At 45.4% G+C, this 23,947-nt stretch overlaps 1 protein-coding gene and 1 long non-coding RNA gene across 51 annotated transcripts in view, besides 3 other annotated features; one reads left to right on the top strand and one right to left on the bottom strand.

The window, feature by feature from the left end:
- Window positions 1–23,947, bottom strand: part of NAV2 (neuron navigator 2) — a 776,366-nt gene that overhangs the window by 67,601 nt on the left and 684,818 nt on the right. For 21 of the 50 annotated variants that reach the window (XM_017018520.3, XM_047427824.1, XM_017018522.2 and 18 more), the window contains 6 exons: window positions 17,904–18,042; window positions 9,729–10,020; window positions 8,331–9,033; window positions 4,806–5,273; window positions 4,100–4,165; window positions 2,668–2,712 (listed from right to left, as the gene is read on the bottom strand). In XM_017018520.3, coding sequence (XP_016874009.1) covers window positions 2,668–2,712; window positions 4,100–4,165; window positions 4,806–5,273; window positions 8,331–9,033; window positions 9,729–10,020; window positions 17,904–18,042 — 1,713 coding nt within the window. The remainder of the gene's footprint in view (window positions 1–2,667; window positions 2,713–4,099; window positions 4,166–4,805; window positions 5,274–8,330; window positions 9,034–9,728; window positions 10,021–17,903; window positions 18,043–23,947) is intronic. The other 29 variants (XM_047427830.1, XM_047427831.1, XM_047427825.1 and 26 more) reach the window with 2 other exon arrangements.
- Window positions 4,329–5,528: an enhancer, noted in NCBI's record as "BRD4-independent group 4 enhancer chr11:20070019-20071218 (GRCh37/hg19 assembly coordinates)". NCBI's record gives its function as "activates an origin of replication core promoter dependent on BRD2, P300/CBP, MED14 and CDK7 cofactors, and independent of BRD4, by STARR-seq in HCT116 cells {active_cell/tissue: HCT116}" and the evidence as "EXISTENCE:reporter gene assay evidence [ECO:0000049][PMID:35650434]".
- Window positions 4,329–5,560: a biological region, named in NCBI's record as "BRD4-independent group 4 enhancer GRCh37_chr11:20070019-20071218".
- NAV2-AS2 (NAV2 antisense RNA 2) lies at window positions 4,698–10,226 on the top strand. Its single transcript, NR_046672.1, has 2 exons — window positions 4,698–5,027; window positions 9,704–10,226. It is a non-coding gene; the product is annotated as an NAV2 antisense RNA 2 (long non-coding RNA).
- Window positions 5,047–5,560: an enhancer, noted in NCBI's record as "H3K4me1 hESC enhancer chr11:20069987-20070500 (GRCh37/hg19 assembly coordinates)". NCBI's record gives its function as "activates a minimal SCP1, AML or CMV promoter by ChIP-STARR-seq in primed H9 embryonic stem cells {active_cell/tissue: H9 hESC(primed)}" and the evidence as "EXISTENCE:reporter gene assay evidence [ECO:0000049][PMID:30033119]".

Genomic DNA, 23,947 nt, shown 5'->3' with positions numbered 1-23,947 from the left:
TATAAAAAGAAAACATATATCCGAAGATGATTTTTTTTAAAATCAGATCACTACACGTCCTGAAACTTATGAAGTTTCTCAAAACCTTTTTTCTATTTGGCTGTGTTTGGGGAAAATGACTACTCCCTTTCAGTTTGGAGGGAACACATAAAGGGAAGAAGATTGGTAAATGCTCAGAAGAGCCGTCACTGGGCGTATCTGTAACATGTTGCTTCATGACAGTGTCACGTCAAAGCCCCCACCTTGACAGGACTGAAGCAACAAAATGAGCTGCTGTTAGAGCTTTGAGGGAGTTTTAATTAGACAACTCATGGCATCTGCCATTCTACAACACAAATAAATGACCATGAATCACAGCATATGAAAAAGCAGACATACAAAGCAAGGTTTGAGGACACTGATGCTTATAGTAGTTGCTGTAATAGAGCACAAACAAATCTTCATAAAAGCAACCCCAAATTGTTGAGTTTTATAGGAGAGGGTCTTCAGAAGTTATGTGGTCCACCACCTCATTTATTCTGAAATGTATATGGTGATGATTTATTGAACATCTGCAATGTGCTAGGTGCCTTCATGTGCATTATCTTACCAAAGCCTCAGACCTACTCAGCAATGCAGATGCCATTATTCCTATTTTACATTCAGGGAAGGTAAGAACCCTGCTGGTAGTCACAGAGTTGAGATTTCAATCCATGTTTGATTTTAAAATGCATGTTCTTTTCATTATGCCCATAAGTAGCGTGTGAAATTTCTTTCCTTTTTTTTTTTTTTTTTTTTTTTTTCGAGACGTAGTCTTGCTCTACTGCCCAGGCCGGAGAAAGGTGGCATGATCTCGGCTCACTGCAACCACTGTCTCTTGGGTTCAAGTGATTCTCCCACCTCAGCCTCCCGAGTAGCTGGGACTATAGGCATGTGCCACCATGCCCAGCTAATTTTTTGTATTTTTAGTAGAGACAGGGTTTTACCATGTTGGCCAGGCTGGTCTTGAACTCCCGCCCTCAAGTGATCCACCTACCTCAGCCTCCCAAAGTGCTAGGATTACAGGCATGAGCCACCGCACCTGGCCTGCATCTGAAATTTCTGAGTGCCAAGTGGCCAGGGTATCCTCGGACTTATATATTATGGAGTGACTACTGATTATGTCAATAGGGGGATTCTTTGGGCTTAAGGAAAGATGTTGTCAGTGTGTTCGTACTGGATGTTCATGTGTATGGAGTGGGTGAGCTACACAGGAAGAATCAGAGTGAGAGGGAGCACAGAAATGTTTTCTCCTTAATGTTTTTACTATATCTGACAGACATGCAACTTTCCAGGACACATCAATTGCCTGAAAATAGCCTGTCATGTATCTCTATTCTGAATTTTTAAAAAACCAGAGCTACATAATTTTGATAGGCTAGATCTGCTACAGAAGTATACACACCATTTCACAATGTTAACATTTAGAAGTTAGCTTTCTCTCAGGGCACCAGTGGGGCATCAAAGTCAAACTCACAGTGAGAGTGGCCATGATTTAAGCATCTGGCATGGTTGCTGACAAGCAGCTCATAGGCACGATTGAAACTGGTAAGTACAAAAGGCCTTGCCAAGGCCCCCTCTAAGGCCACACTGCTCAACAACTTCCTGCAGGATGACTGTTGGGAGATTTTAATACTTTCCTTCTTAGATTCTTAGAACTGGCTTTACTCAGAGGATCCCATTGAAAGGAAGCATTGATACCTACCTCACATTACTGTTCAAAATGCTCTCAGTCTTAAGAGCTGCAGGTTATTAACTATAGACATACATGACAGCAATGAAACATTTCATTCCAAGTCCCATTTTATGCGAAAGCACTTAATGCTTAGTGCAGGGTGAAGCTGATGCTACAGGGCATGTGGTGTTTAGAAAGCAGAAGAAATGACGGCTGCAACCATAAGACAGCAAGATCACAGGGGAGGCATTAGCAAACTGAATTTTCTCTGATTGGCAAAGTGATATAGATGGTGTGAGCAATGGTGACTTATAGCATCTTGTTTTGCCAGGACTAGCACCAAAAACGAACCTGAGCCACCACTTACCAGGAATGGAAGGACAGTCCTTCCTGGGAGTCTTTTCTTTATTATCCACCAAAAAATGATCACACCCATGTCTTGTTGGGCAATGAAAGTGGACCAATTTTCCATTAGAATATTTAGACAAGGGCAAAGTATCTGTCTAGCAATTTTTTATGGGCAGAAAAGTTAAATATTTTCAAATTGGGGGAAAATATTCCTTGCCTCCTGTGCTCTTGTCCTAGCTTACAAATCAGTATGCTATAAGTCATGTCCTTTCTCTTGGAAGACAGCCATGTTAACAGAATGGTCATGGTGAAGTGCTCAGAAATTAAACCCATTGGCCCCAGAAGCAGTAATGACTGCTCCTTGGGCTTGCCCAGGGATGTTTTTCATGAGATGGTTTTACCACATTAAGCCTGAAAAAGCACAGCCCCTGCTCAAGCAAATAAGCTGACAAATGGAGAGTGAGAACGAGAGGGTGCAAGGGGAGCCGTCATCCAAAAGGTCCTGCTGTGGTGGTCAAAGCGGGGACCCCAGCCCAGCCCAAACCCCCACCAGCCATGAAGGAGTCACACAGCCAAGCTCCAAAGCCACAACAGATGGCACAGATGCAAGGAGGAAACACAGATACCTGAGTCCTTTCTTAGGCAAAGTGTTCCTATCAAGGTGCGGGTCACTGTAGGAAAGTTAAAACAAAAATAAGAACTTCAGAGCAGCACACAGAAGGCAGAGAGAGGGAAAGCTAGGGAGGGGACTGAAGGGCCCTGGAGAAAGAGGTGCACATCACCAGGAAGTGCCTTATCCAGCTAGGCGTGCAATGCAACACATCCACATCCGTGGAAAACAAAAGAAACCCAATCCTCAGCCTGAGCTGACACCAGCGCATACTTTACCCCAGGTCACCAGGAGGCCTGAGTCCCTTAACCCCAATTGTTCCTCGTTTTCCACAGATTCAAAGCAAAATTCAGGGGTTGCTCCACCTCAAAGCAGAGGTCCTGTGCCTTCTACTGCCCAGGGGCACTCTCTGCACCAACACGGCTTCTCAGAGAGAGGGATGCCCACTTCCCTGCACCCCTAACTCTGGCCCACCCCCTAAATGCCACTGGCAATGACTTCAAATGGGAGAACAGACTTGTTGGAGGTTTCAAGAGGCCAGCAGTCTGCATATTTGGAATTCATCTGTAACGAAGTGAATTCCAGGTCCCTCTCAATTTCTGCGGCCCAGGCATAGCTAGGAGCTGAGTCCTGGGTGGGGCATGTTACAACTTGCTGGCTGATGAAGTCAAAGCACTTGGATTTCTAAAGACCAACGGTTTAAAGGCTTGGTTTGTGAGCTGACAAAAACAAAGTTTTCACTGTTGATGGGGTGAAGGTTTTTTTTTTTTTTTTTTTCTGGCAGGAGACAACATCTGTTTGTTATGTTTGGCCAGGTCATCACTCCCCCACAAAATTAAGGACAGTATCCATCTCTGAGGCCCACCTACAGCTGGGGGCAAACACAAGCGTGTACATTTGTAAAGTCTTAATACTCTACACATTCTTTTTCATTATCATCGCAGGAAATGGGCACACAGAACACAACAGTCTGCAAGACATAATGAGCCAAACTTCAGCAAAGGATTTTGAAAGGGAGAAGAGGCAGCTGCATGGGGAGGGGTAGACAAAGGTGAGGGCCAAGCTACACAGTGGGTGGCAGGTCATTTCTGGGCTTGGGGTTGGGGGTGGCAAAAGGAATGGGAAGGAAGCTGAAAAGCAGGAACATGCCACAGGAGGCCACAAGAGATGCAAGCGAGAGCTTCCGCTGCCCCAGATCAAGTGGCAGGGTTTAAGGTCGCCTTCCCAAAATGGGAATGAAGAGGCCAGCCCAACTCCACCTCTCCCTGGGCTTTAGCAGACAGAGGAACAGACTCTCACTGGCATGTCCATGTGTCACAGAGTACACTAGAGCCACAAACACAAGCAGGTGGCTTAGGCCAACAGCCTCGCACAAGACATCTGGCTTGACAACGAATGGGCAGAAGAACCTAGAGGCTCGGTTGGTCCCCGGCCTGCAATGTCATTACCTGTCCTGTTTCCTGGGCAGAGTACTTCTGCAGAACTTAGGGCTAGCAGCAGGGGAAGAGAGAGGGCTAGAAGTCCAGGCAGGTAGAAAACAAGAGAAGGAACGTTAGCTTGGAAGAAAGGAGAGGTGTTGTTATATACATTTTTTTCATTCCCCATGCTGATCCTCGCTTTCTTCCCTATATGCAGAAACTGGACACATTTATCCCTGCTGCAGAGAAATCCAGGGCTCTGAGAACACTTTTAATTTCTTGATTTCCTATCAGTCCAGGAGGAGGGTGTTTGCCACAATGACAACAAACCTACCCAGCTGTCTAAAGAGCATCCTACTAAACACTCCATGTCTGCACCCAGTCACCTGCTCTGCTTGCACAATTACAAGGGGAGGGAAAAGAAGCTGTTGATGAACAAACAGGATAAAACTGAAGGATTTCAAAAGCTGAATGCCATTTCAAATGGTAGCATAAATCTGCCCCCGAGAGACTGAGCAGCTCCAAGCACCAAAAATAACCACAGAGGAAAAGATAACAGGGAGCAGAGCCAAGCTTGATTCCATCCTGAAGTGGCTTCCCCATGAAAGACAGCAGTAATTAGAAAGAGAGAAATCTTACAGGCAAAGGCTATTCGACATTTGGGATTCCTAAGCTAATCTTTTTATTTTTGGAAGGGTGTCTTTCTGAGAAAGGCAGCCAGAGGCACAGCACCAACCTTTCTGACAGTGTGGTCTTCACACTGTTAGTTCTGACAAAGGGAGTCAAGGAGTCGTCCTTGGAGGAGGCGATGAGGCCAGTGGAAGAATTGTGGCTGGGGACCCCTCCACTGCTGAGGGAGATGTCGATGGACTCACAGCTGGTGTGGAGGCTGCTGACAGACTGAAAGCCCAGGCCATCCTTGCTAACTGCGGAGGAGCTGCTGGCGTTGGTGCCCCAGGTGAGGCTGTTGGAAGGGGCCGAGTGGGCTGAGCTGGGGCTGGAGGCTAGCGGAGACTGGTTGAGGTCCACATTCTTGCTGTAGAGAGGACTGCTGCTCCCACTGCTCAGGACGCCACTGCCTGACGGGGAGTCTAGGTTACCTTGCTGAGTCATGGTGGCATGAGGATTGGAGATGACCACCGAATTTTTCATGTTTTCAGCTGTGGCGATGGGCACTTGCTTGGTAGGCTTCCCACCAAAGAGTCTGTGAAGAGACAAAGGGTTGTGTAGGTTGAACACCCAGTGCCAAGGGGCACCGGACTGTTAAAGAAGGGTAGGGCAGAGGAGTTGGTGAGAATTCCTGGGGAAGGAAGCACAGCCATTCCTACTGAAATGGCTAACGGTACTTCAGGGAAAGGTCAGCCATAAAGTGGGCCTAGACACTAGTGCATCACAGGCTGCCGTCTTCAAATTCTAAGCTGCAGCTGAGACTCTGACTCCATCTGAGCCAAAGAGCCATGAGTAATAATTTTCTACAGGCCTATTCACATGACACTGGGCCAAGATCTTGCTTCCCTTTCTTTCAATAGATAGACTAACTAGAAAACTGCCCTGGCCCAGGAAGATGGTTGTCTTCATCATCTCTGTCTCTGCGGCCCCAGGCATAAAGCAGGCACACAGTTTATGACAGCTCAACTCTAAGGGATTTGGTTTCTTGACCTCTGAGCACAATACATAGAATCAAGAGCATGAATTTAGATCTGGAGGGGGCCTAGGAAAAATGTCTTCAGAGATTTATCCACAATAGAAAACGCAACTGGAAAGATGTATCTTTTGAAGCCAGAGAGCTTACTTATCCAGTGACATACATGGAAATCTTGCTTGGTTCACAAGACATTAGACCAGACACACTGGGTGGGAACTGTGTCTCTGTGACAGACACACAGAAATGCTATTCTATGTCATCTCCCCTGCTCGTGGCCAAAAATGTGCCATCAGACTACAAGGAATGACATAAATGCCCCCTCTTCCACTGGCAGAGAACTCTCTGGTAGAATGTTGAAATTATCTTTAAGTCAGAGAATTGTCCACATTCTAGTAATGCAAAGGCTCTATTACACTCACTGAAACCTGTGTTGAGTAAGTATCTCACAAGTGACAAAACTACTATGTATTTCTGACATGCAGGTGGCCTTGGGTGCTCAAAGTCGTGACAGTTTGATCTCTGCCCTCTCTAGACAGTCCTATAAATCTCAAGTATTGTAAAGACAATCAATCAATCAATCCTTACTACAGTGGGTGGTGGCAGAAAGGAAACACTTTGTGCCTGGTGACAACAGGGAATGAAATATCCTAATGTAGAATCTTGGCTTTAGAATGCTTACATACTTCCAGTGATGACAGGGACCTCGTTACTTCAAAGGGTAACTTGTTCCATTGCCAAGCACTTCCAATTATTAGGAAACCCAAATCTCATCCACTTTTTTTTCTGACTTTTGCATATTGCTCCTCATTCTGCTATGCATGACTACATACAAAAGTCTAATCTTTGGTCTGTTAGTCCTTGAAATCATTTGAAGAGAGTTATCTATCAAATTCACCAAAGATTTTTCTTCACCATACTAATACACATCAAGAGAACTAAGAATACCTTAACGATTTAGGAAGAAATGTAATTTACCAGGAATTGGCTAAAAGGTGTTCAATGTAGAGCCGTAGGAGCTGCATGCATTTTCAAGCATTCCATTACACTAGCCTAAGGGTCTAGTAAAATGCCTTTGTAGTTAGTAAAGGAAATCTATAATACCAAAGAGTGAATATTACATATAATACTTGAGGCAAGAAACAGAGAACATTTTCATTTACAAGGCAATCTGTTAAAACAACAAAGAGCAGCACAACAGACTTACCCCTGGAAAAAAAAATCGTTACTGAAATTCTAATAATCAAGTCTGGACAAAGAACAGTGAACTGCTTCATTATACCTTTCATGTGGAATGCTTCTTCTGAAGTCTTTTCAAACATTCCTGTTCATCCCCAGATATGTACATGTGCATATAATTTTTATTTTCTCACTGCTTGATTTTCTTTTCTTGGGACTTATTCTTTCTTATGATAAGAAATTTCCTGGGAAAGTAGGATGAACTGTAACCTAGCAGTTGCAGTTTGAGAATGGTCCAGTGGATATTATAATAAGATAATACGAACAGGCAAAAGCTGAATAAATTTAAAAGAAACTTTAAACAAGTGAATAATTTGTTTATATCTAGAGCTTCCACCCAGTGTGAAAATGTGGGGAAATGATGTCTATTTAAGGTAACAGGAAATCAACTTCTCTTTTTCAGAAATATTTCTTCTTTAAGAGGTTTGTGTGTGTGTGTGTGTGTGTGTGTGTGATGGGGAGGGGGAAGTTAAAATTTCAGACTGACTTGGAATTCCGGAGTAGCGTAAAAGTATATGTGGGGACACTGGGCTTTTTGAGTAAAGGAAGGAGCTGGTCAAGATCACTGCCTGCCATAATGAGGAAGCTCAGCTGAAGAATTATTAACACAAGAAAAAAATGTATCTGCTCCCCTGAGCTACCCACCTAGGTCCAAGGGTGTATCAAGACCTCATTCTGGATTGGATGGTAGCTAACTTCTTTTTTTTTTTTTTTTGAGATGGAGTCTCGCTCTGTTGCCCAGGCTGGAGTGCAGTGGTGTGATCTTGGCTCACTGCAACCTCCGCCTCCTGGGTTCAAGTGATTCTTCTGCCTCAGCTTCCTGAGTAGCTGGGACTACAGGTGCATACCACCATGCCAGGCTAATTTTTTTGTATTTTTAGTAGAGACGGGGTTTCACCATATTGGCCAGGCTGGTCTCGAACTCCTGACCTCGTGATCTGCCCGCCTTGGCCTCCCAAAGTGCTGGGATTACAGGCGTGAGCCACGGTGCCCAGCAGTAGCTAACTTCTATTGAGTGCATACTACGACCAGACACAGCTACAAAGATGTATCTTTACAAAAACCCTGACAAAAAAGTATCTTCATCCCCATTTTACAGGTGAGGAAACTAAGGCAGAATTGTTAAAAAAGGTTATATGGCAGCTAATTAAAATGGACCTAAGATTTGATTCTAAGATGATTGATTCCAGAGGCCTAAGTTTTTCATCCCAACATGGGAAAATAGTCAACTGCAAAACTGCCGGCCTGATCTGACAAAACAGCTTTACTGGAGGACTAAAGTGGAGAAAAACAGAGGGTGCTTCAACTAAGAAACAGGAAATTACTAAATCCATTCCCTGTATTCTGGTTCTGCTCTGCACCATTTATGTACTCACTTACCTGCGGAGTGTGGGAGAGGCCACATCTGGGTACTTGGCTCCAGGCTGGAGACTGGTCTGAGCCGGACTGGACACAGGCTGGGCTGCCGGATTCACTTTCACCGAGTTACAGGAAGCCACACTCTCGTTGTCTGATGAGATGCCTTTCTCCTTGTCTGTTTGGTTGACCAGACCTGGTAGAGAGCTGCCTAGGGCTGTTTTGGAAGGCTCCCTCAGTTTGGGCACTGGCAGGCCTGCGGACTTGCTGCTAATGTTGGAATCTATGCTGCTGGTGCTAGACCTGTTCCCAGCCCCGTTCCGGCTGTTGGACTTACTGGGCCTCGGCAAACTCCGGTACTGAAGGTTTGTCCGGGAGCTTAGGGCTAGATACCCGTCATCCTGATTCTGAGCCCCATCCATACTTGACTTCCGACCAGCAGACCGACTGACGAGTGCAGATGACTTTGGGATTTTGCCCAGTGTGGCTGACCTGCTGGTGACAGTCACCCCGCTGGCTGTGATCATGGCCAGGCCGGCGGCGGAACCACTCTGCTTCTTGAACCCAAAGCTGTTGGCATTGGCAGTAGGTGTCCTAGAGCTGCTGGGGAGGGGCTTTTTGGATTCGTCACCACTGCTCCGGCCTGCATCTGATGGGGAGCGCTTCACCTGGGAGGCTTTAGGAGAAAGCCTTCCTTTCTCAGACACCTTTGCGTCGTCTGTTTTTCCTAAGAGAGAGATCAGCAAGATTAGCCTGCAAGCCAAGAGCCAGCTCATCCATCTCGTCTGTTTAAGATGCTCTCCTCCTCTGAAGAGCTGGTTCACTTTTCCCTTGGGGAGGCAGAGGAAAGAGCTTTTTATAAAAATAATATAGTCTACTAATGTACCGTGAGCCTTTTAGGAAATGTCAATAATTTTACTCATTTGCAAAGCAGTCTAAATTTACCCAGGATAAAGCAAAGCCAGCCAATCACTGATATGTCTGGGGGGAAAGAACCCCCTGCCTTTCCTGATCTTTCACCCTCTGTCCATTAAAGCGCTGTCCCTAACATGTCCAGGGGATACCTCTGCCCTTGTTTATAAATATTCCCTAAGTCAGGGACAACATCAACTCACCATACACCCACAGCTCATAAACCCATGCTGTTGAATAGCCTGAACTGGCTGCATTAACTCACCCAGTGTCTAGTTAAACCAATTCAGTATGTCTCAGCAGCCGAACCATCTTCAGAGCTTAAGAGGCTCCCATGCTTACTTATTTCCACTTAGAAAAAGGTAGGGATGTGAAAGTTTATGGAAGCTCGTTGTTAGCAGAGTATAAATCCTGAGACAAAATATATAATGTCAAGTCCTTGCTAGAGTTAACTATGGCTTTGGTTTTCAAAATGTCAACTGTAGGGCCAAGACAGCCCCGGCCTCTTACCAGTTCCTGGGGTCTTCAGTGCGCCTGCCGGGGCTGAAGGCTTCGTCCTTGGCATGGTGATGCCCACCTGAGCTGTCATGCCTCGCCGCCATGAGCCTGTCTGGGAGATGACAGGATTCTTCTTGCCCGACGTGCTTTTGTCGGACTCGTCAGACACATCAGAAGGATTCCGCCTCCACTTGGAACCTGGCTCCATTTTTATGCCGCTGTCTGAGCCTCCGTCTGATTTCTTGACATCATCACCAGACCACAGGGAATTCCTCTCCACCTGTGAGTGCTTCTCAGCATCAGTCTGTGGACAGAGACTCTCTGAATTAGTCCTTCCCCAGTCCCAGGCTGGGAAGCCCCTCACTCCAAAGGCAAAAATGCCAAAACACTGGAGTAGTTAAGGGAAAAATAAGCATTACTTTAAAGATGTTTGGACTTTTGTACTCTGGTTATCTTGTTAGAAAGACTGATTTTTTTTTTTTGGAAAAAAAAATAAAAAAGTAAATAATATCAATGTATCCCTGGAATGGAATGGAACGAGATGGCTGGGCACAGTGGCTCACGCCTATAATCCTAATATTTTAGGAGGCTGAGGCGGGAGGATCACTTGATCCCACAAGTTTAAGACCAGCCTGGGCATCATGGCAAAACCCCATCTCTACAAAAAATAGAAAAATTAGCTGAGTGTGGTGGCACACGCCTATAGTTCTACCCACTCGGGTGGTTGAGGTGGGAGGATCACCCCGGGGAGGTGGAGGCTGCAGTAAGCCGTGACCGCACCACTGTACTCTAGCCTGGATGACAGGGCGAGACTGTCTCAAAAAAGAAGAAAAGAAAAGCAAAAGAAAGGAGTGAGGGAAGAGAGGAAAAGGGGCCCAGGAAAAAAGAAGGAAAGAGCCCTAGCGAGGGGAAGGGGCAGAGCAGATGGAGATGCAGTGGGAATTCAGCCACCACCTATTTTCTGCCACTTGAACAAGCCTCCTCCAACTCTGGCGGCTGATCTCTAACCAGCATCCAGTCTCCTGGCCCGTTTCCCTTTGTTCTGCCTTCTTCCCATCACTGCACCGCAGAGAGATCTTTGGATCTAACACACCAAGCAAGGGAGCAAGGGTGGCTGCTGGTTCTACGCAAATCAGGGAGAGCCAGGAGCTGAGGGGAAGCGCATCCTCAAATGCTACTTCCCCCAAATGCGGAGAGCCAATGATGCCTGCTCCGACCCCAGCATTATTTATATGCCACTGCTTTGCTCCCCTTGTGGGATTTTGTTCTGACAAGGGATATAATTAGCCAGCTTTCTTTGGAAGAGCCCTGACCTGCTGGCCATAAAACCCAGAAGGGGACCGAAGTGTGACGTTAATGATCTCCTGCAGCTAAAAGGCATAAAGCTGACCAGAATGCTTTGGAGGCCTCCTGGGGTTTGAGGCCAGTTGGAGGATGTCAGTAGCGAGAAGCAGCACGGTAAATGGGGAAGGGAGGTCAGGAGCGCTTTCAGGGTGGGTATACTAAGATACCAGTCCCATATTTGCAATGCTTAACTACCGAGAGTAGGCAAGATAGGAAATTAAAATGAACACCTGGCAAGAATCTGCCTAACGCCTGTCATCCAAGAGTGGAAGAAATGCCTTCCTCCATGGAATACAATGGCTGAATGGGATAAAAGCTAAAAACAGATAGGCAGCCCAAGTTCAATCGCCTCCCCAACACCACCCCAACCCCTTCTCCCCTTATGAATTCCACTCATCCATTACAGACACCTTATGAGTTCTTTCATTTGTTTTTTTCCAGCTAAGTATTAGTCACTAGAGATATGAGGAGGACAAACACACACTGCCTGGCTATGAGAAGCTCATCATTCAGCTGTGGCAAGGGACAGAGAGAGGGGAGTTCCTACATGTGGGCACAGGGCAGGAGCTCACTCAAAGCTTGATGAGCGAATGAATGAGCCTAGGAAGGAGCCAAGGAACACACGCTTTTCAGGCCACAACAGACATTAGCAAAATTATCTTATCCGATCTCAGCCTCTATTTAATCAGAAAGGGTAAGTACACAAGTACTCAAGTACTGTTATCTTTATCTCAATCTTACAGAAACTAAAGTTGCCCATTCTTTGTCCCAACTACCTCAGGTCAGTTTCCTTCCTCTAAACACTTCCAGTACATTCATCCAACCAGAATTTACTCCATGCTTGCTGTCTGCCAGGCACCACGGAGGGTCAGAGAATCTGGGGATAAGACTGATTTCCCACCCATGGTGGAGCTTACGATCCAGTGAAACAGGCAGAGATAGAATAAATAAACACAAACAAGGGTGTAATTGTAGACTACGAAGACTATTATAAGGAAAAAGACAAAAAGTCTGAGAAATAAATATAGACATTGACCTAATTTAGATGACAATGAGGTGGGTAGGCGACAGTGATCAGTTCAAAAAGAAGTACCCTAAAGAAAGAAAAGAAACTTACTTAGTAAAAGAAGAGTTTGGGGCAGAGCATACCAGGGAGAGGGAACCACATGTATAAAGGTCCTGAGGCAGAAAATAACTTGGCTTTGGAACATTCACTTCACAAATATTTATTGGGTGCCACTACGTGCCAGGAAAGCTTATTCGCACTAGGAATACTGCAATGAACAAGTATAAATCATTAACCTCATGGAGCTTACATTCAAGTACATTTTAACATATTCTAATATGCTCTAAGAGGTACTGAAAATTTAGCACATGCCACATCCTGGGTTACTGCATTATTTATTCTTTTAATGTTCCTATACTTATTTCCCCCCAATCAAACTGTAATGGTGCTAATACTAGTAGCATAACAACTACAATTTATTGAGTACTTACTACGTCCCAGGCACTAAGCTAAAGTGTTTGATATGTATCATTAAATTTAATCCTTATCAAAAACCTATGAGGAAATTACAGTTAATAGTCTCAATTTTACATGACAAAACTGAGGCAAACAGTGAAAAGAAAATTTCCCAAGATCACATAGTGAGGAAGTAGAGATGCAGGGAATTCAGGGAGTCTAACTGCAGAGCCCACATTTTAACCACCATGCCACACTGCCCTCCCTAAGGATAAGTCGAGGTATATGATACATTTGTGCATACTCAGTAGCACCTAATAGCTATACCCAGCAGATTCTCCTTCCATACTGGCAGGCTCCCCAACCCCAGTTCTAGAGCAGCTCTAGCTTAGCCTCTAGGTGGGACCCATACAACTCCATTTCCATCAGTGGCAGAGACAGCGCACATGCCCCTGGCCTGGGAATGTGGCTTGACTTTCTCTCTCTGGAAAGAACAATCATCCAGCCATCACATCTCCCTAGCTTGGTCCAGGGTGGTCACCTTCCCAGCTCTACTCTGAATCCTTCATGAGCTACATGCCGGACTATAAGGTGGCACCCCTTGGGATTAAAAAACGAGAAAGTCCCAGCCTCTCTGTTCCTGGAGCTCGCAACAGCGGAACCAGCCAACAGGACATCCACATGGGGACGTACGAAGAGTTCTATCCTGCCTTCCCCTCCATGCCTCGGCCAGTTGTTTCCATCTCAATGGTACCTCCTTTCTGAAGGGTTTTCTTCTGCCTGTTCTTGGAAGTCTATGTAGTCATTCGATATCCACATGGGAAGGTGAGGAAAGAAGCCACGCACAAGGGACTTCAGAAGGGAGGCCAGTCTTCTGAGAGCAAGAGGTGAGGCCTGAGGAGCATGATGTGGGGGAAGAGTGTGGGCTTTGGGTCTGACAGATCTGGGTTCAAGTGTTCGGTGCTGCCACTCATTTGCTGTGCATGACCTTGGAAGACATTGCCCTACTTATCTGAACTTATTAACTCATGTATAAAACATGGATGATAAATAGGTCTCTTACAGCATTGATGGTGAACTCAGTGAACTCAGTGTGGGGGGACTCAATAAACAGTGGTTCTATTCATTACCAACTTTCCTGCCTCTGAAAATCCCCAGCACTCTGTTGTCCATCTTTAGCATTTATCCTGCCTTTGTCTTGCATTATGGGAGAACAGGTACTTGTCTCTTCTGCCACTGGGCCACAGGCCTTTGGAAGGCAGGGATATTCCCTCCCTGTGCCATATCCCTTGCGGATCTAGATGCTGAGCTGGCTCAAGTTTAAGCCCCAGTGACCATGGAGATAATTATCTGCATCAACATCATCGCCTGCCAGTCATCCTGCCAGGCACTGTGTCCCTCCACATACATCCTGAACTCATCTTATCCTCTCAGGCTGTGTTATTATCCACATTTTACACATCAGGAAAATACAGGGCTGAAGAGGAAAAGTAACTTACCCAGCGGGTGAGCAGAAGGGGGCACCCCTCCTCACCCCCAGCCAAACCCCATCCCTACATCCATGCCAACATCTAGAGAGCTCTAGGGTCACTCAAGGCCACACAAGACAGGAATCCTTGCCACATAATTCAGAATTTTATTTCCCTGAGTAGCAAAAAATAAACTGACATGGAATTATCTTTTTCCTCCGCATATGTTATTAAACATTTCACAGGCATTGAAAATGAGAGGAAATCTTGATGTGTGCATCTTTGCTCCTCAGCACCTGGGATGGTGCCTTCCACAGAACTGAGAGAAAATACTGAATGTACAGATGAATATGTGAGGGAGTTGCGTGTGTTTGTTAAAGCCCTTTGCCACCAACATCTGTCCTCAAAATAAAATACTGCAAAGTAAGATGAGTTGCTTTGAGACTACAAACAAAATATATTAAGAACGTAGTCAACCTTTAGTTAACTGCCATGAATGGAGGCTGGAGGCAGAGGAACAGTTAACCCAGGTGGCAGGGGCTGGGAAGGGACGAAGGGAAGGAGAGGAGGGAGGAAGGGAGGGAGAGATAAGAGAAATGGAGGGAAGGAAGAAGGAAAGAAAGTAACTTCTGAGGAACCATCCAGTCTCAGGCACCTAGGGAAGCATGTGCTGATAAAGCATTTCCCTGTTACTTTCACACTCACCCTTGAAGGTGCATCTAATTAGTGCCATGTTATGGATGAGGAGGCAGGGGCTCGGAGAGAGTGCTTAGTTCATCCAAGGATGTCATAGAGTGAGGAGCACAACTCAAGATCATGTGGCTTCCAGGTCCACACCTACTCCCTGACACCTCAATTTGCTTGGCCAACCGGACTCACCAGCTCTCCTGGAGGAGTTGCTCAAGAGGCTCTTGGGCCTCAAGCAGGGGATTCTCTGCCTGGCCCTGAGGAAACAGTGGGCACAGGAGCTGATGCTGGACAGCTGGGCACCTGTGCTCTGTGGGGGGCATTCTCCGTTGCTCCTCAATGTCCCCAGTGATAGCGGAGTCCCTCACAGACAAAAGGAATCTCCATTCCCAATGATCCGTCTCCTCTTCTTTCAATCAGCTATACGAGGCTGTTTCTTAGGTTTTCCAGACAATAACTTCCCTGTTCCTGAGATGCTTTAGTTATTTCTCAGAGGCTTTTCAAACAGCAAAAACCTAGGCAGGCAACCTGTCCTCAATTTGCTTTCCTGATGGACATGCTGAGCCACTTCTCCCTGCCTCCCCACGCCTTGCCTGGCAGACTGTGTGCTGCCCACCTGTTCCAGGGTAAACCAGTATGTGACAGGAACCCAAATGAGCCACAGCATAGAAGGCGCAGCTCTTGGGAAGGGTACAACGCACATCTTCCCATTGCCTGATGCCGCTCAGACAGGAGTAATGGCCCTTAGCATTCCTCAGCGTGATATGAGGGAGGAGGATGGGAGCCTGTGAATTATGCTGATTCAAATATTTTGAGATGCTCCCTGGACAGGAACAAAAGGAATGTCACTAAAAATCCATTTAAAGAAACCATTGCGTTAGAAATCTTAGTAACTATTGGTGTAATCTGCATTTAGTTTACTTTAAGACCTACTTTTTTTTTAGTTTTCATTTCAACATTTTAAACTCAGGTAGTTTTATAGGAAAAAAAACCTACCCAATGAGTAGTAAACCATTTACATCCCTTAAAATAACTTCTGATCTTGATCAAAAGGCATGTTTGTGCAGAATCCTGCAGCCTTTTCTGATGTGACATTTACAAGATGAAAGCAAAGAGCTGGTCTAAAGAGCTGGGGCGACTGTATCAGCTAGAAAATCATGTACAAATCCGAGTTGTTTATCAATGTGGAACCAGAGATTTCAATTCCAGCTTTGCAAGAAGGGAACAAAGGCAAGGACATTCTTCCAGTACAGTGTTTTACTGGCTCCACCTGCATCTCAGGAGCAAGCTTCTCCTACCTTGTAAGTCAAAAATGGAAACCTCATGGATCTCTCTCTCTCTCTCTCTGCAGTACCTCTAATAGCCTGCCTCCTGAATATGTAGATGCAGGGTGAGCAATTCCTTGGTTCCTTCCTTAGTATCTAAGGACAGTCTGGTTGTTCTTATCTTGAATATACAATGAGCCTCAGGAAAAAAAAATTAGTGTTCACAAGGAAAGGAAAATTGGTGGCAGGAGCATAGCCTGGCTGGGCACTTCTGACTTGCGTCTAATCACTGATGAAACAGTGATCGGCTTGTGAAGTGTGGCTTAGGTTTTGTTTGTTTGGTTTTTGTACAGTAAAGTACACAAATCTTAAGTACATAGCTTGAATACATTTTAGAAAATTAACATACTTACATAGCCACTGCTCAGATTAACATACAGAGCATTACCCATGGCCCCCTTTCTAGTCATATGGGTAGTTTTTGTTTCTTAAAACAACTACCACCACCCACTGTCACTAGGTTGGGTTTCTGAACAATAATCAGAAAGTCTGGCTCAAATGAAGAATACAAGAAGTAACTGGGAATCCCAGGGGCAACACCTAATGTATTTCATCAGGCATTAAACGTTTCCATTTCTGTGGGACAGAATTACTCCCACACTCTGATACATCCTTTTTTTTTTTTTTAGCCCTATTGTCAAAGAAGAGATACCTTTAAAAGAAAATAGATTTCCAAATCAGCTCCTATCTGTATGAAGTAAAGCACTGCTGAGAAAGGAAGAGGTTATGGAAGGGAGTGAAAGACGGGGCAGTGCTAGTTCTGCCTCCCCGCAAGGTTGCTCTGAGAGACTTTGTCCCAAACAGATTTCTCCAAGGGTTCGCCAAAGATGGGGGGTGGGGAGGGGTGGCGCCTGCAAATGGGAGGGATCAATCATGAAAAAGATTCCAGCCTACGACGCCAATGCCACCACAGCTGGCCAGTTCTGGTGCTGGTCAGTCCCAAACTGGGGACAAGCTGTGAGGACAGCACTTTACGTTTCCACTAGTAAAATGGGCCTTTCAGAACCATCCCTTGCCAATCATGAAGGAATGGTCTGAGGGTCAGTGAACGTGTCCACATGAAACTACACCACATTTGAAACATGAAATCTGAAGCCTTAAAGTAGGAATGGAAAACTCCAGTGCCTTGGGGTCAGGCAGGTAATTTAAGGAGTACAGCTGGCCAGCAGGGTAGCAGCTGTGCACACTGGAGCAGGAGTGGCAGGTCTAAGGGGTTGGATACTGGGACATCTGTTGATTGTCACCACATGGAGAATGTAGGCTCAAGGAAGCAATATCTTTGTTTTTCTCAAGAGCAACCAGGAAGACATTTTCATGTGAAATAATATAATTCTAAAAATTTGACAGGGAATCTAGTTTAAAAGAAGGGTAACACTGTGGGCCAAATAAAACACGTCAGCAGGGGAATGTAACCCAGAGACAGAGTTCTCAACCACAGGTCAGGACATCCCGGCCTTCCGGTCCAGGGTTCTCAATCTTTATTTCCACCCCATCCTCCTACAGGGATTAGACACGTGCCCCTGGATAGCAGTGGCTTGCTGCGGCAAATAAGAGACACACACTCTGGGCTGAAAATTGCTAAAGTCCCACATCCTTTTCTGTTGTTTGTTTTTAAACAAATTATGAAACCGAGGTCCAGGGAGGAAGAGTGATTTCATCAAGTCCACACAGTGAGGGTGGTGAAGCCTCCCTACTCCCGTGTCCACCATCCGCTGCCTGACCCCTCCCTTGTGGACACAGGTCAGGGTCAGGAGGTGAGAGCAGAGGCGGCAGGAGGCTGGGCCTCATCTCATCAACCTGGAGATTCTGGTTGCCCCAAATGGCCCTCTTACCCCACAAGCCCAAGGTTCCCTGCTGCCAGAGGCTGCTGGAGGAGCCTGGGAGGGCCTGTGTTCCTCACCTGCACATCCAGGTTTTTTCGAGAGGAGGCAGGTGTGTTGGCATAAGAGCTGATGGAGGAGCTGGTGTTGATGTCATCAGTGCTGAGGTTGTCTATGGTGTCGCTGATGCCGCTGCTGACGGAGCTGCTGTCGTCCCAGCTGCCAAGACAAACACACATCCTGAGCACCAAAACCTCAGGCTGTTCCAGCTCAGGCTGATGACACAGACAGACAAACACCATCCCCGAAAAGATCCAATCTGTGCCATGAAGCCCCGGACAAAGCTCTCTTGACTCAGATGTGACTCATCTCCACATCAATCATTGCTGTCTGGGATTGGAAGCTGGGTGAAGAGGCTGACAGATACCTTCCCCAAACTAAGTGCTTCCATAGCAGGGGTGGCTACAGACACTACCCATGTCCTACCCCATTCTCAACTTCATCCTGAGAATTTTATGGAAACCAATTTGTTCCTTCCCAGGCCTAGTGGCAGAGTAGGGGCAGTGAGTCTGGGGACTAGAGCTAAAAGCATGCAGGGAAGGACTCCGCAGCAGGCACCTGTCGGGTCAGAGGGCAGAGCTGCTGTATGACTTCTGCAGACTTCACTCCTGGAATGAAACGCCGAGCGAGGGAGAGCGGCAACAGTTAGGAGAAACCTGTCAACTTGGTTAGCAGCTCTAACTCTAATAATATCCCCAAATACATCTAAAATAGATGTTCTTCATTTCCCAACCCTCCAACCGAATGAGGTCAGTCCCAAGCTGCCTAAGTCCAGTCTCCTAGCAATGGTTCTTTCTTTCTTTTTTCTTTTGTACCATCTCCCCACCTGCCAATACCACCACCACGTTTAATCCAGCACCCAGTCCTATCACCTTGCTTCCAAAACATATCCAAATGTGCAGTTCTCTGCCCCCACTGCCACCCTGCAGTTCATGGTGCGGTCAATGCTGCCTGGATTACTGCTAAAAGGCCAGCTGGTCTCTGTGGTCTGCTTCTGCTCCCTAATGGTCCATCCGCCCGCAGCAGTCAGAATATCCTGTCACTTTACTGCTTAATACCCTTGAGTTGTTTCTCAGGTAATTAAGAGTCCAAACTCTCTATATGGCCCCTCAAGACCCTCTGAGCTTGCCTCCTACCCCAGTCCTGTTTTGCACCCCTCTCCATTGCGAGTGGCTCTGATCACATGCACTTCTGTTCCTTCTAAGCCAAGATTGCTCTCTTTGAGGCTTTCTGTTGCTTGTCCCTCTTTCTGAACACTTGCCCCTGCCTCCTCTCATCTTTCAGATCTCAGCTGAAGAGTTACCTTCTCAGGAAAACCACCCCACCAGCCATCAAGCCTGTCACACTCTGTCACGTCACCCTGTTGCATTTACTCATTTGTTTGCTGTGGTGTAGCAGATATGTAGCAAGTGCTCAATAAATACTTGCTAATCGAGGGCTGGGCACAGTGGCTCATGCCTGTAATCCCAGCACTTTGGGAAGCCAAGGCGGGTGGATCACCTGAGGTCAGGAGTTCGAGACCAGCCTGGCCAACATGGTGAAACCCCATCTCTACTAAAAGTACACAAAAATTAGCCGGGGGTGGTGGCACATGCCTATAATCCCAGCTACTTGGGAAGCTGAGGCAGGATGATTGCTTGAACCCGGGAGGCAGAGGTTGCAGTGAGCTGAGATCACACCACTGCACTCCAGCCTGGGCAACAGAGTAAGACTCTGTCTCAAAAACAAACAAACAAACAAAAAAAAAAAAAAAAACAAAAAAAAAACTTGCTGATCGAAACTTACAGAAGTGAGAAGTCACGTAGACAATAAAGCAGAATTCCAAGATCAGTGTGACACTACTCTAATTGACCTATAGGGGAAAAGGGTATTATTGTTTTTCTATTGTACAGGCAGAGAAAGTGAGGCTTAGAAAAAAATAGATACCCTGTACAAGGTCAGAGGGCTAGGAAGAGACAGAGTGGATCTTGATCGAGCCATTCTGATTCCAGAACCAACTACCCTCTTTACTGTGACTGCAGACAGTTTTGTATTATGTCAATTCTCAGCACACACCAGATGTGACACAGCCCACTTTCTCAGGAGGACGCCAGGCTTGGGAGGCCAGGCAGCCTGGTTAAAGGCCGCTCAGCCAGGAGTGGCAGGTCTGATACCAAAGCATTGACTTAACCTCATTATTCTACCACTCAGTCTTCCACAGTCTTGCTGAAAGCCCTACAAAGTGGCAGCGTGGAACCTGGGAAATGCTGAGTGGTTGAGATTTTGAAAGCCAACAGAACGTCTGCCACACACACACATAACCCCAAAGTTCTAGTTCATTCCAGCAGCTTGGAAGATACCTGCCTGTACATCTTGAGCTCTGCTGATCAGGCAGGAAGACAAAGGCTTACTAAAAACCTGTTTTCATCACCTTCTCCTTCAACACTATTTGGCTTCCAAAACCCAACCTGGAACATCGCACAGAAATGCAGGGGAATGTGAGGGTGGTCCCAAGGTGGGAGGATGAGGCAGGGAGAGTGAGGGCTCAAAAGGGGCTTATTGTGAATGAATCCACAAGGGTCCAGCAGCTCTGGAACTCTGCACACTTCACTCCTGTAATTCTACTTCTTGTGCCCAGCCCTCCATCCTGTTCCAAATTCTTCCTTTAAGGCTTTCTTCAAATACTCCAGCCCACCCACATCATCTCCTACTTTAAATTCCTACATAGTGTCACACATTTCTATTTGCTTCTATACACTCTTACACAGTTTTCTAGCTATTCTCTATACAAAGGGCCGTCCTATCGTCCAAATATATGCAGGGGCCTGCTTAGCGATAACAACTAAGTGCTTATCATGATCAGGCATTGTGCTGGGTACTTTAAATATATTGTTATAGGTTTCTCCAGTCCTCATATCATACCTGCAAGGTAGGTATCATCCTGCCCATTTTACAAATGAAGAAATAGAGGCTGAAAGAATAAGTACGCTGACCGATGTCATTCAGTGTTGGAACTGGGTTTAAAAAGCAAATGTCTAATTGCAAAATATGTGCTCCTTCTAGTCTGTGTCATGCTGCCTTCTGTAGCAACAACGGCTGTTCCCTGAGCCTGTGCCACATGCCAAACTATTCAACATTTGCACATACTCTCCTAGTCACTCTTAAGGGTGTTTCATAATGAAGAAACTGAGGCCGTGAGGACTGAGGGGCAATGCTGCAGCAATGTCAAGTTCATTCGGTGGACCACGTGCCTTCCATCTCCAAAGACACAGTCTGTGCTCCTTAAATACCTCCTGACAAACTCAATGTGCAGAGGCAAGATAGAGCAAGTTTCTGCTGCAAACTCACCACCAGTAGTGGATTCTAAGCCCAGCTCCCTGCCCAATGATTCTTTGCAGGGTCACAGCTTCTGTGCCTGTTTCACCTAGGCTGGTAACCACAGGAGGATCTGATTGGGAAAGCATGGCGTCACAGATGGAAAAGGACTCAAATTTGTTCTAGTGATTAAAAGAAAATCTCATGTGTCTTTTCTTGCATCTGCTCTTTGGGGTTAGGAATTTAATGTATCTAAAATTTCTCATAATTTGATGAAGAAGAAAGGGGAATGGTGGGAGAGGACCGTGGCTGGCAGGGAGGAAAGAGAGCAGTTGTAACAGATGCTCATGAATCCAAGTCCCAGATTTTGTGCTTTGAAATTGTAACCTTTCTTCCCCCATGTCCTTTCAACACCAACATAATATTCCGGAGGGGCATGTGGCCCTTGATACACAGGATTCTTCCCATATCAGTGCCTGGAGCACTGCGTGCTTACCCTGAGTTGACAGGAAGCCTTTGTAACTGAGCCACCCAGAAGAGGGGAAGCCAGGGATCTAATCCATGGGTGGGAGTGGGGGACACTTATGACAAGGATGAAGGGCAGTGACACGAGGGAAGGCCACAATGAGCAAGGGCAGCCTCGATATTTGCCAGAGCTGTCTGTGGCCAGAAACCAAAGCTGCCCCTGCAGCTGGAAAACCAGCCATGTCTCCTTTGCTTCTGGGTCTCTGGGATACTGGCAAGTTCATCTTGACATAAAGTCACTTAGTTCTAACTTGTCCTTTTCCCATTCAGGGTACAAATGATCAGGAGCCACCAAGATTAGTTCAGTGAGTTTGCAGATGTATTCTGAGGAAAACCAGTTCCACCAGATGCTCTGTGATAAGAATGTTGCCCTAAGAAGGGAATGTGGAATCTCCTGCCTTGTTGGAGATTCACACTGTAAACAGTACATCAACATTTTAACAGCTGTGAAGTCCAGTAAAGATCACCATAACTTTGCCTAAAGGAGCATTCCCCAAACTTATGTGACTACACAGGAAACGCTGAGAAGAATGAAGCACACACACACACACACACACACACACAAAGCGAAAATGAAGAAAAATGCAATAGAGCCTAGAGCTGCCAGTGGCTACTTGATTCTCACTTCCCTGAGAAGGAAGCTGGCACAGTGGGAAGCAGAGCTGAGAGGGATGGAAGTGTGCCTTTGACATCGCTTGAGTGCCCACATCCAGCCATACTGAAAGCCAGAAGCACCCCTGGGAGATCCAGCCATGAGAAATAGTAAATTCCTTTCTTTTGCTTTTTGTCACTTGGCATACTCATGCTAACTAATGGGGAAACGTAACTTGTTTGTAAAATAACTCCAGATATGTGGTTGAGAGTCAGATGGGAAAAATGTGGAAAGCATGCAGAATTCACTCAGGCAGTAAGGACACTGGTTGAATCTAATCAAGTGACAAAGGAAATTAGGTACAACCTGGGATGAGGCACAAAAGTCCACTGACCCAAATCGGGCAATAAATGTTGAAAGCAGTTACAAAAAGTGATTAAGATAGCAACTTGAAAGGAACCTAGAGAATTCGTGTTTACTATGTGGTGAAATGAAATTCCAGAGAAGTGGCTTGGGGACCTCGATAACACAGCAGAAAGAACTACAGTGTACGCAGCTATGATTCTGGAACCATCATTCCTGGAAGAGGATTGGACCATTCCTGTGTCCTGGTCCTGAAACAGTCGGAGAAAAACCATATGATGGCGCTGAGCCCACCTGAGATGATAAACCGACTACCCTTATTTCAGAGTGTGTGATTTTAAATCTGGGAAAGGTTTAAAAAGATGAAAAAGAATGATGAAGTAAATCATAATATTAAGATTAAGGCTTTGTGATCATTGGGTTAATCAGTATGTATTTATAACATTTAAAAGAATACACAGCATATAACAGGATCTGACAAAACAGTCTTCTGATTTCAATTTTAAATGACTATTGATTTTTTACTTGAGACTTTTAAGCTGAAATGTTTAAGAATTGGATTACGGTTGTAAAAAGAATTGAAATCTTTATGAAAATAATTTGTGACATTTGTAACTCTAATTTATTTGATTTGCAAGAGTTGCTTAAGTGCTTAGAAAGATTTTGCTTGTTTGGCTGGTAAATCTACCCTGTCAGACATCTGAAGAGCTTAAGGAAACCAGGTATGTTAAATTTACAAATGCAGTCTAAAATATTTAAGAAAATTTAATTATCCAAGCTTTCAAACAGCACTAATTTTGTAGGTAAGTGTAATCTGTTGCCTGAATAAAGTACTAATTGACAACAAGTGAAAATGATCTTAATTTATGAACAAAATACTTGTTTTATAGATGTGATTTCTAAGAAAATCTAGATAAAAAACGGAAAACTTCGATTAAATATTAAATCCTAGTTAACTCTAAGAAGTTATTTTTGGGCACAAAAGCACTCTTAAAAATAAGATATTTTTTAAAGTATTAAAGCAGGTTTCATCTTTTGAATGAATCAATGATTTTTATATGAATGACTAGAAGAATAAATGAACCCACGATGGCATCTTCTCTCCTCACCAGGTTTTGCCACTCCAGTTCACCTTCACTCTACACAATAAAACTTTCAAAGCAGCTCCAAAATTGCTCTGAAAATGTTGCTGGAGATAGCATTGTGTTTGACAACCTTGGGAAATAAGCAAAACAACCCCACGGCCTCCTCCTGGAAACTAACAGGAATATGGGACACAGAGCTTGGCTG

This window comes from Homo sapiens, chromosome 11, assembly GCF_000001405.40.
Source record: "Homo sapiens chromosome 11, GRCh38.p14 Primary Assembly".
NCBI classification, from domain to species: domain Eukaryota; kingdom Metazoa; phylum Chordata; class Mammalia; order Primates; family Hominidae; genus Homo; species Homo sapiens.
This window is presented reverse-complemented; position numbering and strand designations above follow the sequence as displayed.